This window comes from Homo sapiens, chromosome 1 (assembly GCF_000001405.40).
Source record: "Homo sapiens chromosome 1, GRCh38.p14 Primary Assembly".
In the NCBI taxonomy this organism is placed as follows: domain Eukaryota; kingdom Metazoa; phylum Chordata; class Mammalia; order Primates; family Hominidae; genus Homo; species Homo sapiens.
In genome coordinates, this window is record NC_000001.11 from 36,099,667 (window position 1) to 36,113,817 (window position 14,151).

General features: G+C 53.7%; 1 protein-coding gene across 2 annotated transcripts in view, besides 1 other annotated feature; it reads right to left on the reverse strand.

Moving 5' to 3' along the window:
• COL8A2 (collagen type VIII alpha 2 chain) overlaps window positions 1–14,151 on the reverse strand; it is a 29,984-nt gene that overhangs the window by 4,428 nt on the left and 11,405 nt on the right. The window contains exon 3 of one of the 2 annotated variants that reach the window (NM_001294347.2): window positions 529–592. Coding sequence is in view for 1 of the 2 variants with exons in the window: in NM_005202.4 (NP_005193.1) it covers window positions 384–576 (193 nt within the window). In the remaining variant the exon portion in view is untranslated. Of the gene's footprint in view, window positions 1–383; window positions 593–14,151 lie in introns of both variants that reach the window. The other variant, NM_005202.4, reaches the window with a different exon arrangement.
• Window positions 397–526: a silencer, noted in NCBI's record as "silent region_654". NCBI's record gives its function as "represses an Ori minimal core promoter by ATAC-STARR-seq in GM12878 lymphoblastoid cells {active_cell/tissue: GM12878}" and the evidence as "EXISTENCE:reporter gene assay evidence [ECO:0000049][PMID:35858748]".

Sequence of the window (14,151 nt, forward strand, 5' to 3'; positions counted from 1 at the left end):
GGTGTCCTCCTTAAGGGCTCCTAACACCCAACCTACCTAGGCTGGGCCTCCTCCATGAGCCTGGCTGATTCTCACCTCTCATCCCTGCATGACCTGAAGGTGGAGTGGCCACCAGGTGGCACCAGCAGCCCACCTTAGAGCCCGTGGGAGCAGAGCCCCACCTCCCAACTTCCCAGTTCATCTCCCCCTTGGAAGACCACCTGTGCCAGCTAACTGCACCGTTTCCAGGCCCTCTGGGGTATTAGGAAAAACACTGAAGGTAGGAAAATTGGTGGGGAATGAGGAGCTGTGGAGGGCGCCTGAGGATCTGATGGCTCTCAGGGAGGCAGGGGATTTGGGGGCTGGGAGCGATTTGAGGCACTGTGGGGTGAGGAGGCTCTCACCCAGGTACTGGCCTTTGCCCTCACGGAAGGGCGGTCCCACAGGTCCTTTCTGCATGGGCTGGATGTACTTCACTGGGGCATAGCCCGCCGCCCCACCGGCCCCGCCACCAGAGGACGCCCGCGGCCCACACCCCAGCACCAGCACCAGTAGCAGCAGCAGCAGCGAAGACAGGGGTGTCAGAGTCCCCAGCATGGCGTCCGTGGACGTGCTGCAAAGAAGAACAGAGAAAGTCATCAAGCCAGCCCTGGGTGGTTTGGCACTAGGCCCGGGGTCACCAAAAGATCAGAATTTAGAGATTACACTGGAGATTTCAGTCAAAAGGCTGAGAAGCAATTCCGAATTTAGATATTATTCACAAGCAATTTTCAAAGTCGCGGGGGTCTGCATAAGCCACCTCCTAAACTTCTTCAGACCCTGCCTGTGGCTGTTCATCACCCCCACCATCTCCGAGAGCCCAGCCTCCCCAGGACAGCAGCCTCCTCAAAACCAGCCAGTCACTCTCTGCAGCCGGGCGTGCCTTTTAGAGCAGTCTGACCTCCCCTGCTAAAAACTCTTGGATGTCAACACCCATTTCCATTGCTGGGCCAGCTCTCTGCCAGGCACTAGGCTGAGCTCTTTAGGGACATGAATTCACTTAATGCTCAGAACACTTTAACAAGTTATTATTATTGTCATCTCCATTTTCCAGATGATAAAACTAAAGCAAAAGTCTTGAGGAAGCCAGAGATGGGATTTGTCTTAGGTCTGTCTGACTGCACCTTCTGCTGATGCCCTTCTGGACTCCCTGCCACTCGCCTTTGGGATCAAGTCTATGGCGCTTAGCATAGCATTCAAGGCTTTTTTTTTTTTTTTTTTTTTTTTTTTTTTGAGACAGTTTTGCTCGCCCAGTGCAATGTGCAATGGCGCCATCCTGGCTCACTGCAAAATCTGCCTCCCGGGTTCAAGCGATTCTCGTGCCTTAGCCTCCCAAGTAGCTGGAATTATAGGTGTGTGCCACCACGCCTGGCTAATTCTTGTATTTTTAGTAGAGATGGAGTTTCGCCATGTTGGCCAGGCTGGTCTCGAACTCCTGACCTCAGGTGATCCGGCTGCCTCAGCCTCCCAAAGTGTTAGGATTACAGGCATGAGCCACCGCGCCCGGCCTGCATTCAAGGCCTTTCTAACCTACTCTGTGCCTGTGTCTCCAACTCTATTGCCTGCTATCCCTTTCTCTGCCCCTCACCTCCCCACACCTCCACCCAGTAAACCAGAACTTGAAGTTCCCAGGCACCGGGCACCTTAACACTTCTGGCCTTTGCGCCTGCTATTTCTCTGCCTGCAATGTTATTTTCCTCCTCTACTCATCTTTTATGGCCCTGGGAGGCTGTCATCCCTTCCTCTATAAAGCCTCATTTCTTTGTGCCCTGACCTATGCCTGTCACAGCATTTGGCTCAACTCAGAGAACAAAGCCTGGGTGAGGAAGAAGCACAGGCTCTGGAACCAGCCAGGCAGCCTTCCCCTTCCCCTTCCCAGCTGTGGGAGCCTGGGCAGGAGGTCTCCTCATCCATGAAATGAGAGAGGATGTCCACACAATAACCTATATGTGAATGTTCATAATAGCGATATTCACAGCAGCCAAAAGTAGAGACAACGCAAATGTCCATGGACAAATAAAATGTGGTATCGCCATACAATGGAATATTACTCGGCAATGAAAATGAATGAAGTACAGGCTGGGCATGGTGGTGTATACCTGTAGTCCCAGCTACTCAGGAGGCTGAGGTGGGAGGATCACTTGAGCCCTGAGTTTAAAACCAGCCTGGGCAACATAGCAAAACCCCAAATTTAAAAATATATCTATAAATAGGCTAAGCACAGCAGCTCACGCCTGTAATCTCAGTACTTTGGGAGGCAGAGGTGGGTGAATTGTCTGAGCCCAGGAGTTTGAGACCAGCCTGGGCAACCTGGTGAAACCCCATCTCTACAAAACAAACAAACAAAAAATTAGCTGGGTGTGGGCGTGCTGTGGTCCCAGCTACTCAGGAGGCTGAAGAGGGAGGATCACTTGAGCTCAGGAGGTGGAGGTTGCAGTGAGCTGCACTCCAGCCTGGGTGACAGAGGGAGACCTGGTCTCAAAATATATATATATAAAAGGAAGGAAGTCCTGACACCTGCTACAACACAGATGAATCTTGAAAACAGTGAAAAGTGAGATATGGAATGTACATGTTGTGTGATTCCATTTATATGAAATGGCCAGAATAGGCAAATCCATAGAGACAGAAAGTGGATCAGTGGTTGCCTAAGGCTGGGGTGGGGAAGAGATGGGAAGTGACGACTAATGGGCACAGCCTCGGCCTCCCGGGCTCAAGTAATCCTCCCACCTCAGCCTCCCAAGTAGCTGGGACCACAGGCACGTGCCACCATGCCTGGCTAATTTTTTCTATTTTATGTAAAGACAGGGTCTCACTGTGTTGCCTAGGCTGGTCTCAAACTCTTTTAGGGAAGATGAAAATGTTCAAAAATTGATTGTGGTGAAAATTGCACAGCTCTATGAACACAGTAAAAAAAAACACTGAATTGTACACTGAATGGGCCAATTGTATGATGTGTGAATTATATCTATAAAGCTGGTTTTTTGTTTTTTTTTTTTTTTTTTGAGATGGAGTCTTGTTCTGTTGCCCAGGCTGGAGTGCAGTGGTGCCATCTCAGCTCACTGCAACCTCTGCCTCCCAGGTTCAAGAGATTCTCCTGCCTCAGCTTCCTGAGTAGCTGGGATTACAGGGGCCTGCCACCACACCCAGCTAATTTTTTGTATTTATAGTAAAGATGGGGTTTCACCATGTTGGCCAGGCTGGTCTTGAACTCCTGACCTCTAGCGATCCGCCTGCCTCAGCCTCCCAAAGAGCAGGAATTACAGGCATGAGCCACTGCACCCAGCCTAAAGCTGTTATTTTATTTATTTTTTGGATACACAGTGTCACTCTGTTGCCCAGACTGGAATACAGTTGGCACAATCATGGCTCACTGCAGCCTCGGCCTCCCGGGCTCAAGTAATCCTCCCACCTCATCCTCCCAAGTAGCTGGGACAACAGGCACATGCCACCATGCCTATGTAAAGACAGGGTCTCACTGTGTTGCCTAGGCTGGTCTCAAACTCCTGGGCTCAAGCAATCCTCCCACCTTGGCCTCCAAAAGTTCTGGGATTATAGGCATGAGCCACCATGCCCAGCCAGAAAGTTTTTTTGATTTTGTTTTTTGAGACAGGGTCTTGCTCTGTTGCCCAGGCTGGAATGCAGTGGTGTGATCTCGGCTCACTGCAAGCTCCGCCTCCCAGGTTCACACCGTTCTCCTGCCTCAGCTTCCCAAGTAGCTGGGACTACAGGCGCCCGCCAACACGCCCGGCTAATTTTTTGTATTTTTAGTAGAGATGGGGGTTTCACTGTGTTAGCCAGGATGGTCTCGATCTCCTGACCTCATGATCTGCCCACCTCGGCCTCCCAAAGTACTGGGATTGCAGGCGTGAGGCCCACATCTGTGTTTTTGTTTTTTGTTTTCTTTTTTTTGAGACAGAGTTTTGCTTCTGTCACCCAGGCTGGAGTGCAATGAATGGCACAATCTCAGCTCACTGCAACCTCTGCTTCCCGGGTTCAAGCTATTCTCCTGCCTCAGCCTCCTGAGTAGCTGGGACTACAGGTGCATGCCACCACGCCCAGCTAATTTTTGCATTTTAAATAGAGATGAGGGTTCACCATGTAGGCCAGGCTGGTCTCAAACTCCTGACCTCAGGTGATCCACCCGTCTCAGCCTCCCAAAGTGCTGGGATTACAGACGTAAGCCACCACACCCAGCCCCCACCTGTTATTTTTTTAAAGTGAGTTAGCTGGGCACCGTGGCTCATGCCTGTAATCCCAGCACTTTGGGTGGCTGAGGCAGGCAGATCACCTGAGGTCAGGAGTTCAGGACCAGCCTGGCCAACATGGTGAAACTCCATCTCCACTAAAAATACAAAAAATAGCCAGGCGTGGCAGCAGGCACCTGTGATCCCAGCTACTTGGGGGGCTGCGGCAGGAGAATTGCTTGAACCTGGGAGGCGGAGCTCACAGTGAGCCGAGATCATGCCATTGTACTCCAACCTGGGCAACAAGAGCAAAACTCCACCTCAAAAAACAAAAAATGGGCCAGGCGCAGTGGCTCGTGCCTGTAATCTCAGCACTTTGGGAGGCCGAGGCGAGTGGATCACCTGAGGTCAGGAGATCGAGACCATCCTGGCCAACATGGTGAACCCTGATCTCTACTAAAAATACAAAAATTAGCTGGGCGTGGTGGCATGCACCTGTAGTCCCAGCTACTCAGGAGGCTGAGGCAGGAGAATCGCTTGAACCAGAGAGGCGGAGGTTCCAGTGAGCCAAGATCGTGCCACTGCACTCCAGCCTGGTGACAGAGTGAGACTCTGCCTCAAATAAATAAATAAATAAATAATAAAATACAAATAGGCTGGACGCGGTGGCTCACACCTGTAATCCCAGCACTTTGGGAGGCCGAGGCGGGCGGATCATGAGGTCAGGAGATCGAGATCATAGTGAAACCCCGTCTCTACTAAAAATACAAAAAATTAGCCGGGTGTGGTGGCACTTGCCTGTAGTCCCGGCTACTCAGGAGGCTGAGGCAGGAGAATGGCATGAACCCGGCAGGCGGAGCTTGCGGTGAGCCGAGGTCGCGCCACTGCACTCCAGCCTGGGTGACAGAGCGAGACTCCATCTCAAAAATTAATTAATTAATTAATTAAATAAAATAAAAATAAAGTGGGTTAAAACCTGCTTCTTGGGGCTGCTGTGATAAGTGGAGATTTTGCACCTGGCTCAGAGTGGGCTCCCATTATTCGAAGGAGGTTCTATTTGGTGTTTTTCATACCCGAGGAAAGTCCCACTTCCCCTCGAATCCCTGCTCTGGGTTCCCCTCACCCTACGCAGGGACCTCTCTGCATCTTTGCCTGGCAACAAGTGGAGTTTGAGGGTGGGTTGTGGGCGTCTGGGGATGTGTGTGGGGAGAAGGCCTCCCTCAGGCCAGGCTAGGTCTGGGCTTGAGGTCCCTGCTCCTCCAAGCTTAGGATCACATGGAGCTTTGCAGGAATTAATGCAGGGCTCCAGAGAAGATCCATGGACCTGTCAGCTCTCATGTTCGAATCCCAGTTCTACCACCAACCCACTCTGTAACCTCAGATGGGCCATTTAACCTTCCTGAGCTTCAGTATCATAGCAACACTTGCCACATCTGTCCCTGTGTGCCAAGGAGTGATCCAGGCCTCAAAGGCCATAGCTCACTTTAATCCCCTCAACAAACCCATGAAGATCCTGCAGTTATTACCCCCATTTTACAGAGGTAGGAAATGGAAGCTCCAACTGTAAGAGTCTAAGTGTCAGCTGAGGCCTCGCCCAGAGCCTCCCCTCAGCACAGGCTGCCCGCCTCACCTTGCTCTGATTGATGGCAGAACCCATCAAGGCCACGTTACGCAGGCCTGACCCACCGGGGAATGCTGCTGGGGTACCTTGCCAGGCACTGGCCTCATGCTTTACACGTAATCCTCATACACGCCTGTGAGGTATGTTATCCCTGTTTTAGAGATGAGGAAACTGGCCAGGCATGGTGGCTCACACTTGTAATCCCAGCACTTTGGGAGGCCTAGGCAGGAAGATCGCTTGAGCCCAGGACTTTGAGATCACTCTGGGCACATAGTGAAACTCTGTCTCTACCAAAAAAATTAAAAAGTTAGCCAGACTTGGTGGCGCGGGTCTGTAGTCCTGGCTACTCAGGAGGCTGAGGCAGGAAGATCACTTGAGCCCAGGAGGTAGAAGCTGCAGTAAGCCAGGTTTGTGCCACTGCACTCCAGCCTAAGCAGCAGCAAGATCCTGTCTCACTTAAAAAAAAAAAAAAAAAGAGAGAGAGAGAGATAAGGAGGAGGCAGGGCGCGGTGGCTCACCTGTAATCCCAGCATTTTGGGAGGCCGAGGCAGGCGGATCACCTGAGGTCAGGAGTTCAAGACCAGCCTGGCCAACATGGTGAAACTCCATCTCTACTAAAAATACAAAAATAAGCCAGGCATGGTGGCTGTGATTCCAGCTACTCAGGAAGCTGAGGCTGGAGAATCACTGGAATCCAGGGGGCAGAGGTTGCAGTGAGCTGAGATGGCACCGCTGCACTCCAGCTTGGGCGACAGAGAGAGACTCCGTCAAAAAAAAAACAACAAAAAAAAAAACGAGATGAGGAAACTGCCTGAGGGGGCCACTCGCCAAGAGCACCACAGTGAGAGCCTAAGCCCAGGCAGTCCAAGTCCCGAGTTCCAGCCCGTAACCACCACACCATCCCCACTCTCCTGTGCAGGGGAGGGCCCTCCTGCACTGGCCACCTGAGCTTGGGGGCTGCCCACATGTGCACAGAACCAGAATGTTCTGCTTGGTGGGTGGACAGGGGGATGGGGGAGCAGATGGAAGGGGCAGAGTGTGTGGCAGGAAGCCGAGGGAGGGGAGGGTCTGCTCTGGCCTGGTTGGCCCATGGTCAAAGTCCTGACACCACCACAAGAGGATCCAGAACAGCCCTGGCTTCTGGGGGTTGGGAGTGATGGAGGGTGCAGCTGGGAGGGTGCTCAGGGCAAAAAGGACTTCGAGGAGCTCAGGCAGCAGGGCGCCAAGGAACAGCCCCAAGTGCAGCCAGGAGCCCAGGCGGCACCCCCGCAAGCTGCCCACCTTTCCTTCCTCCTTGGTAATGGGGGTCCTCCAGCAAGTGTCCTTGACCCACCCTCTTGGCTCCCTGAATTTGCCCCATCCCAGACCCTTCCATCCTGCACTGCGTTCTGCTCGCTGAGGTCAGGTCTGATGCCAGGACTCCAAAGAGGTGTCGCCATGAGTGAGGAGGGTATGAGTGAGGAGGGTCTGAGTGAGGACTGCAGCTGGAAGACCAGGTGTCAGGAACTGCCACAAGGCTTTACACGCAATACGTGACTTAATTCTGACAGCGTCCCTGGGCAAGAGGTGCTAGTTCACAAATGAGGAGACTCAGGGATTTCCAGAGAGGCCCGTTAAGAACCTGAGCTCAGCTGGGTGCGGTGGCTCATGCCTGTAATCCCAGCACTTTCGGGAGGCTGCGACGGGAGGATCACTTGAGCTCAGGAGTTCAAGACCAGCCTGGGCTATGTAGTGAGACCTCATCTCCACTAAAAATTTAAAAAATTACCCAGGCATGGTGGTGCACCTGTAGTCCCAGCTACTTGGAAGGCTGAAGTGGGAGGATTGCTTGAGCCTGTGAGTTTGAGGCCGCAGTGAGCCGTGATTGCACCACTGCACTCCAGCCTGGGTGGCAGAGTGAGACCCTGTCTCAAAAAAAAAAAAAGAACCCCGAGCTCCTAACCACTCTGATGTAGTGCCATGGAGGGAGAGTAAGGCAGAGAGCAACAGCAGAGACAGACGCAAACAGAGGCATCTCTCTTCCAACTCCAAGGGCCTGTGGGCTTGAGAGGAGGCTCACCCTGGCTCTCAGAGCTGGAACCTGGCATGCGCCCATCTGGGTGGAGCTGGGGAGTGCGCACTGGCCACAGCGGTGAGAAGGGTGTGTGCGGCCTATTCAAGGGGCTGCAAAAGAAATGATGCCCCCTGGAATGGTGAAACCGGCAGCCCAGGGACGACGGTTTGCCCCCACCCCAGCACCATCAGAGCCACAGGGGCCTGGGCACCTCTGAGCCCCCTGCCCACCTGCCTCCTTTTCACTGCAATCCCTGCCCCCTGACCTCCCCTGCTTCCTGCACACATGCCGGGCCTCCCTGGGGCTCTCTGGCCTCTGTACATTCTGCCCTCTCGACACCTGGGAAACTGGCTGGACGCCTCCCTTGAGGCCTGCCGATACCCACGGGTCCCCGTCATCGCTCTTGTTTCCCCCCGTAGCTCTCCACCTCTTTCCACCACGCTCCCCCACTCTGCCCTGTACAGGGCTTGGCTGGCACACAGTGATGCTCCAGTGTTTGATGAACTCAATTCACCATCAAATTTAAAGGACACACCAATAACACACTCAGTCCTTTCCTCAGCTTTGCACAGATAAATGTCACATTCACCCAGGGAGTCCATTCCCCAGGTCCAAGGGGCTCATCTGGGCTAGAACGGGAAAAGCAAGGAACATTCACATGGCCTCAATCATAGGACCTCAACTAAGAACCATGTGCTCTGGGATTAGAGGTGTGCAGGGGAGGACACTTCATCTGTGTGTTCCTTGCTCTCCCCATGGGGAACAGTGGCCAAGCAGGGCCGTCAAGGGTCAGGGGCTGGGCCCTGAGGCTCAAGCCTGGCTCTGCCCACGACTGGCTGTGTGACCCTGGGTAAGCCATCACCCTCTCTGGTGACCCCTTGGGAAATGAAGGTAGAAAGACGGCAGGGCTGGCAGGGGCACGGAGCCCGAGGTGGGACGCACACAGGAGACGCTGATTCAGAGGACGGCGCAGTGGCGGCCTCGGGTAGATGCAGTGTTTGGACAGCTGCAAGTCCTTAACGGGGATTTCCCCCCTTTTCAGCAAATCCCCATAAAACAGCATTCTGTCCAAGTCAGCATTTTGTGGCAGCCCGGGCCTCCTCCCAGGGAGGCCAAGGAGACCGGCTGGGAGTGGGGAGTGCTCTGGGATCTTTCAGACCAGTGGTGGCAGAGTGGCGGTGGTGTGCAGCAAATGGGCCCCAGCAGAAATAATTGGCAAGAAGCAGACCCCTTCACTGCTCCCAGAAATGCCTGAAGAGGGGAAAGGACATTAGCTAGCAGGGACCCTTCCCAGCAGTCCTGGTCTCCGAAAGAGTCCTTTCCTAGAGGCGACCAGCAGAGGAGGGCTATGTGGTAGCATGGAATTGAAAGACCTGCCCACTCTCCCATCCCATTTCACAGGTGAGCGATCAGAGGTCTCAATAAAAAAGGGGGGCCTGAGAGTTGGTGCCTCAGGACCCCAGGCACCCGCTAGGTTCCCAACGGACCGGCAGACCCCCACAGGGTGGGTGGATGAAACGCAGCCCTGCGCAGGCCCCTACTGCTCCAAGCCCCCCACCCACCCCAGACAGAGCAACTGCAGCTGAGGGAGCGGTGGGGGCACTCAGGCAGCCCCAGGGCCTGGCCAAACCACAGGTATGTTATGAGACGCTTCCTGTTGTGGAGACATTGCTGTGGGATCCGGCTGCCCTGCTTGCTCACCCGCCCCGCGCTGCTCTCTCCTTGCTCCCCAGCCTTGCTCTCTGCGCTCTTGCTGGGTCTCTACTCCTGACTCCTCTCTCCCCTCCTCCTTCTGGCTCTGTCTCTGTCATCACAACAGGTGAACAGCACTTCTGGCTCAGGCCCTCCCTATCAGGGACCCATCCCTGAGACCTCTAAGGCCCTCCTAGTTCCAGGCAGCCCCTGGACTCCTGTTTCAGCACAGCTACTTACCAGCTGGGTGATCTTGGATGGGTCACTTAAACACTCTGAACCTCAGTGTCCTCATCTGCAAAAGGATTAACTCAGGGGCTGCTCTGCCTATGGAGTAACCACTCTTTTTTTTTTTTTTTCTTTTGAGACAGAGCCAGGCTGGAGTGCAGTGGCACGATCTCAGCTCACTGCAACCTCCGCCTTCCAGGTTCAAGTGATTCTCCTGCCTCAACCTCCTGAATAGCTGGGACTACAGGCACACACCACCACGCCCAGCTAATTTTTGTATTTTTAGTAGAGACGGGGTTTCTACTAAACGGGGTTTCTACTAGGTAGACACCATGTTGTCTAGGATGGTCTCAATCTCTTGACCTTGTGATCCGCCTGCCTTGGCTTCCCAAACTGTTGGGATTACAGGTGTAAGCCACTGCGCCAGGCCTTGGAGTAACCACTCTTTTTATTCCTTTACTTCCTTTTTTTTTTTTTTTTTTGAGACGGAGTCTTGCTCTGTTGCCCAGACTGGAGTGCAGTGGCGCGATCTCGACTCACTGCAAGCTCCACCACCTAGGTTCACGCCATTCTCCTGCCTCAGCCTCCCTAGTAGCTGGGACTACAGGGGCCCGCCACCACGCCCGGCTAATTTCTTTTTGTATTTTTAGTAGAGAGGGAGTTTCACCATGTTAGCCAGGATTGTCTCGATCTCCTGACCTCGTGATCCACCCGCCTCGGCCTCCCAAAGTGCTGGGATTACAGGCGTGAGCCACCGCGCCAGGCCTATTCCTTTACTGTCTTAATGAGCTTGCTCTCATTTAAAAAAAAAAAAAAAAAGGATTAACTGAGATGATCTAAGCCACCAGTCCCTCCATGTGTGCTGCCCAACTTGCTACCCTGATGACCTGGAAGTCCTCTCTTCACTCTAATTTCAATTCATCCTGCTGCAAAGCAACTTCTTTCCTCCATCTCTTCAAAAGCTCAGGTTACTTGCTGCCAAAGGTCAGGATCTTGTAAAGTGAACTTTTTTTTTTTGAGATGGAGTCTCACTTTCTCACCCAAGCTGGAGTGCAGTGATCTCACCCAAGCTGGAGTGCAGTGATGAGATCTTGGCTCACTGGAGCCTCCACCTCCTGAGTGTAAGCATTTCTCCTGCATCAGCCTCCCGTGTGGCTGGGATTACAGGGGTACACACCATCACACCCAGCTATTTTTTGTATGTTTAGTAGAGATGGGGTTTCACCATGTTGGTCAGGCTGGTCTCGAACGCCTGACCTCAAGTGATCCACCTGCCTCGGCCTCCCAAAATGCTGGGATTATAGGCATGAGCAACCGTGCCTGGCCTATAAAATAAACTTCTAAAGTCAATTTTCTGGCTTTCTTGACCTTTTCCCCAACCATTCCTGAGATGAAACTGACCAGGGGCCACAAAGCCTGCTCAGGACTAGGAATGAGTTATGGACCTTGGGGAGGAGCAGAGGAACCCTCCTCACCCTTTGGGCATGACACCCAGCCCAACTGCCCAGCTTGGCAGCTCCAGACTTCTCCAGGGTTCCTGAGCCCCACCTGCCCCACTACTCTCCCAGCTGGTAGAAACTGGGGAGCCCTTTCCCATCCTCCTTTCCTGAATCTCGGAAGAAGGAGCAAGGCCCAGGCCCCTCCACACCTCTTCCTCGGGGGCCCCTCACTGTCTGCCATTGCTGCCCTTGCCCCCAGTCTCCAGCCTCTCCATCCATATGTCCACACGGGCCTGACCCCTCCCCAGCCACCCTCATCACTCCCCAGCCCTTCTCAGCCAAGCCTCCTGAAAGAATGCTCTCCACCCTCAGGCCCCACTCACTCCCCCTCCACCCTCTCACCTCGGGGTGCTCCACCTTGTCACTCTGCTCTTCTCCTTCTTTGAAAAGCTCCTCCTCAGAATCTTCTCTGCCCACTTCCTCTGCCCACTCTCCAGACCCAGGCTTGCCCAAGGAGCTGGCTCAGGCCTCATCTCTTCTCTCTGGATGTTTCTCCTATAGTGTCTAGCTCCCACCAGCTCCCACAGTGCCAACTCCATCACCGAGGACTCCCACATCTGTCTCCAACTACGATGTCTCCCCTGAGCCATTTTTTTTTTTTTTGAGACAGTCTGCTCTGTCACCCAGGCTGGAGTTCAGTGGTGTACATGACCACAGCTCACTGCAGCTTCAGACTCTTGGGTTCAAGCCATCCTCTTGTCTCAGCCTCCTGAGCAGCTGGGACTACAGGTGTAAGCCACCACGCTGGACTAATTTTTAAGTTTTTTAAGAGACAGGGTCTTGCCACGTTGCCCAGGCTGCTCTAGAGAACTACTGGGCTCAAGTGATCCTCCCACCTCAGCTTCCCAACTGAGCCTCAGACTCTTGTGTTCAACTATCAGCCGAGCATGTCCCCTGGCTGTCCCTCAGAGATCCCACCCAAACTGCTATCATTACCTTCTCCCTCATTACATGCTTCTCCCCAGCCCAAGTGCCCTGTACCTCCAGGTGCCAAGGCCAAAAATCTGAGCATCACTTCTGTTGTTGTTTATTTAATTAATTTGTTTATTTATTTTTTTAGACGGAGTCTCGCTCTGTTGCCCAGGCTGGAGTGCAGTGACGCGATCTTGGCTCACTGCAAACTCCGCCTCCCAGGTTCACGCCATTCTCCTGCCTCAGCCTCCCGAGTAGCTGGGACTACAGGCGCCTGCCACCACGCCCGGCTATTTTTTTGTATTTTCAGTAGAGACGGGGTTTCACCATGTTATCCAGGATGGTCTCGATCTCCTGACCTCATGATCCGCCCGCCTCGGCCTCCCAAAGTGCTGGGATTACAGGCCTGAGCCACCGCGCCCGGCCTATTTTTGTTTTAAGGGTGAACATCACTTCTGACCCTCCTTTCTTACAGGAAACCCTCTATGCCTTGGTGTACCCCTCTTTTCAGCCAACTCAGCTCCTACTCATCACCTTTCTTGGGTGCCTTTGTACAGTAGCCAACCTGCACAACTGTACATGACATCTCTCTTCCTTTCCCCCAAACTTCCAACCTTATCCTGTGGACTCTGCCTGCTCTATTTCTCTCACTTCTGTTCCTTCCCCTGCTTTCCCACAGCCTCACCCTAAGGCAGACCTTGTATTCCCCCAAAACTCAGCCCAGCACCTGGCACACCCCCGTCACTAAGTAAAAGTGTGTTAAATGGCCACATTCTCTCCTGGATGATCATAAAAGTCTCTCACCCAGTCCCCCAGCCCCACTTTCTCTCTGTTTTCTCAACATAGCCTATGGAGACTCCCACAATGCTTCTAACACTTTAGGCTGCATCTGGATGACTGGGACAGCCTATCACCATGCAGGTTCTGGGGCCCCATCGAGATTCGGTTGGTGTGGGATAGGGGCCAACATCTGCCTCTCTAGCGAGCTCCCAGAGGACGCTGACCCTGCCCGTCTGTGAGCCACACGTTGGCACAGTTCTGCCCATGGCTGTCCCCTGCTCTGGATTTTCCAGTGGCTTCCTGGACAAATTCCATGTTATTCTGCAATTCACATGGCTTCCTGGAGGAGGAGGCATGCTTTAGACTCAGTAGAATGTGGACCAGTTAGGAAGGAGGGGGTAGAGAGATGGATGTTGAGCCCAGCAAAGCCCTGAGGTCACGTTTGGAGGCACACACTCTAGGTCTAAGAGTCACGGGGGTAAGGAGAGGGCCAGGGACCAGCTCAACGCAGGAGCCACCGGAGTGTGTGCTGTGCCCTCTGCATCCCTCAGTCCATCGCTGTGTGTCACTGAACCCAGGCCTTTGCCTCCTGTGTGTCTCTGACATCTCTGTCTCTGTGCGTCTCTCTCATCCTGTCTCTGTATCACTATCCCACCTATCCACCCATCTCTGACACTGTTTGTCCTTCTCTGTCCTCTCCCATGTCCTGTGCCTAGGTCACTTTCTGGGTTCCAGGCTCTGTAAATCTCTAGCTGTTGGTCATTGGGTGGGACCCTTGGGAAGGCCAGCACTGACAGTCCACACCTGCTCCTGTTAACGTCAGGTCTGGGTCTGACTTCCCTGGACAATGCCTGAGCAGCTCCGCGAGGTCTGGGAAGGGACTTGGCGGGGGGTCCAGTGCCCACGAGCTGAGCTCTCTATCTACTGTGCAGATAAGGACTGCCCCAAAGCCAAAGAGGAGCTCAGAATCTGGGAGCTGGAGGGTGGAGGGAGGTGGCCAGATCAGGGCAGGACTGCCTGGGGGCCACCTTCTCACCCAGGTTGAAGGCAGGAGAGGAGGGCTGCCACCTGCCCACCTGGTCTGCCCTACCAGACTTCAGTTCCACCTAACAGTCCCAACATCCCTCACCCCTGCAAGTGAGGCTCCCAGACCACAAGTGG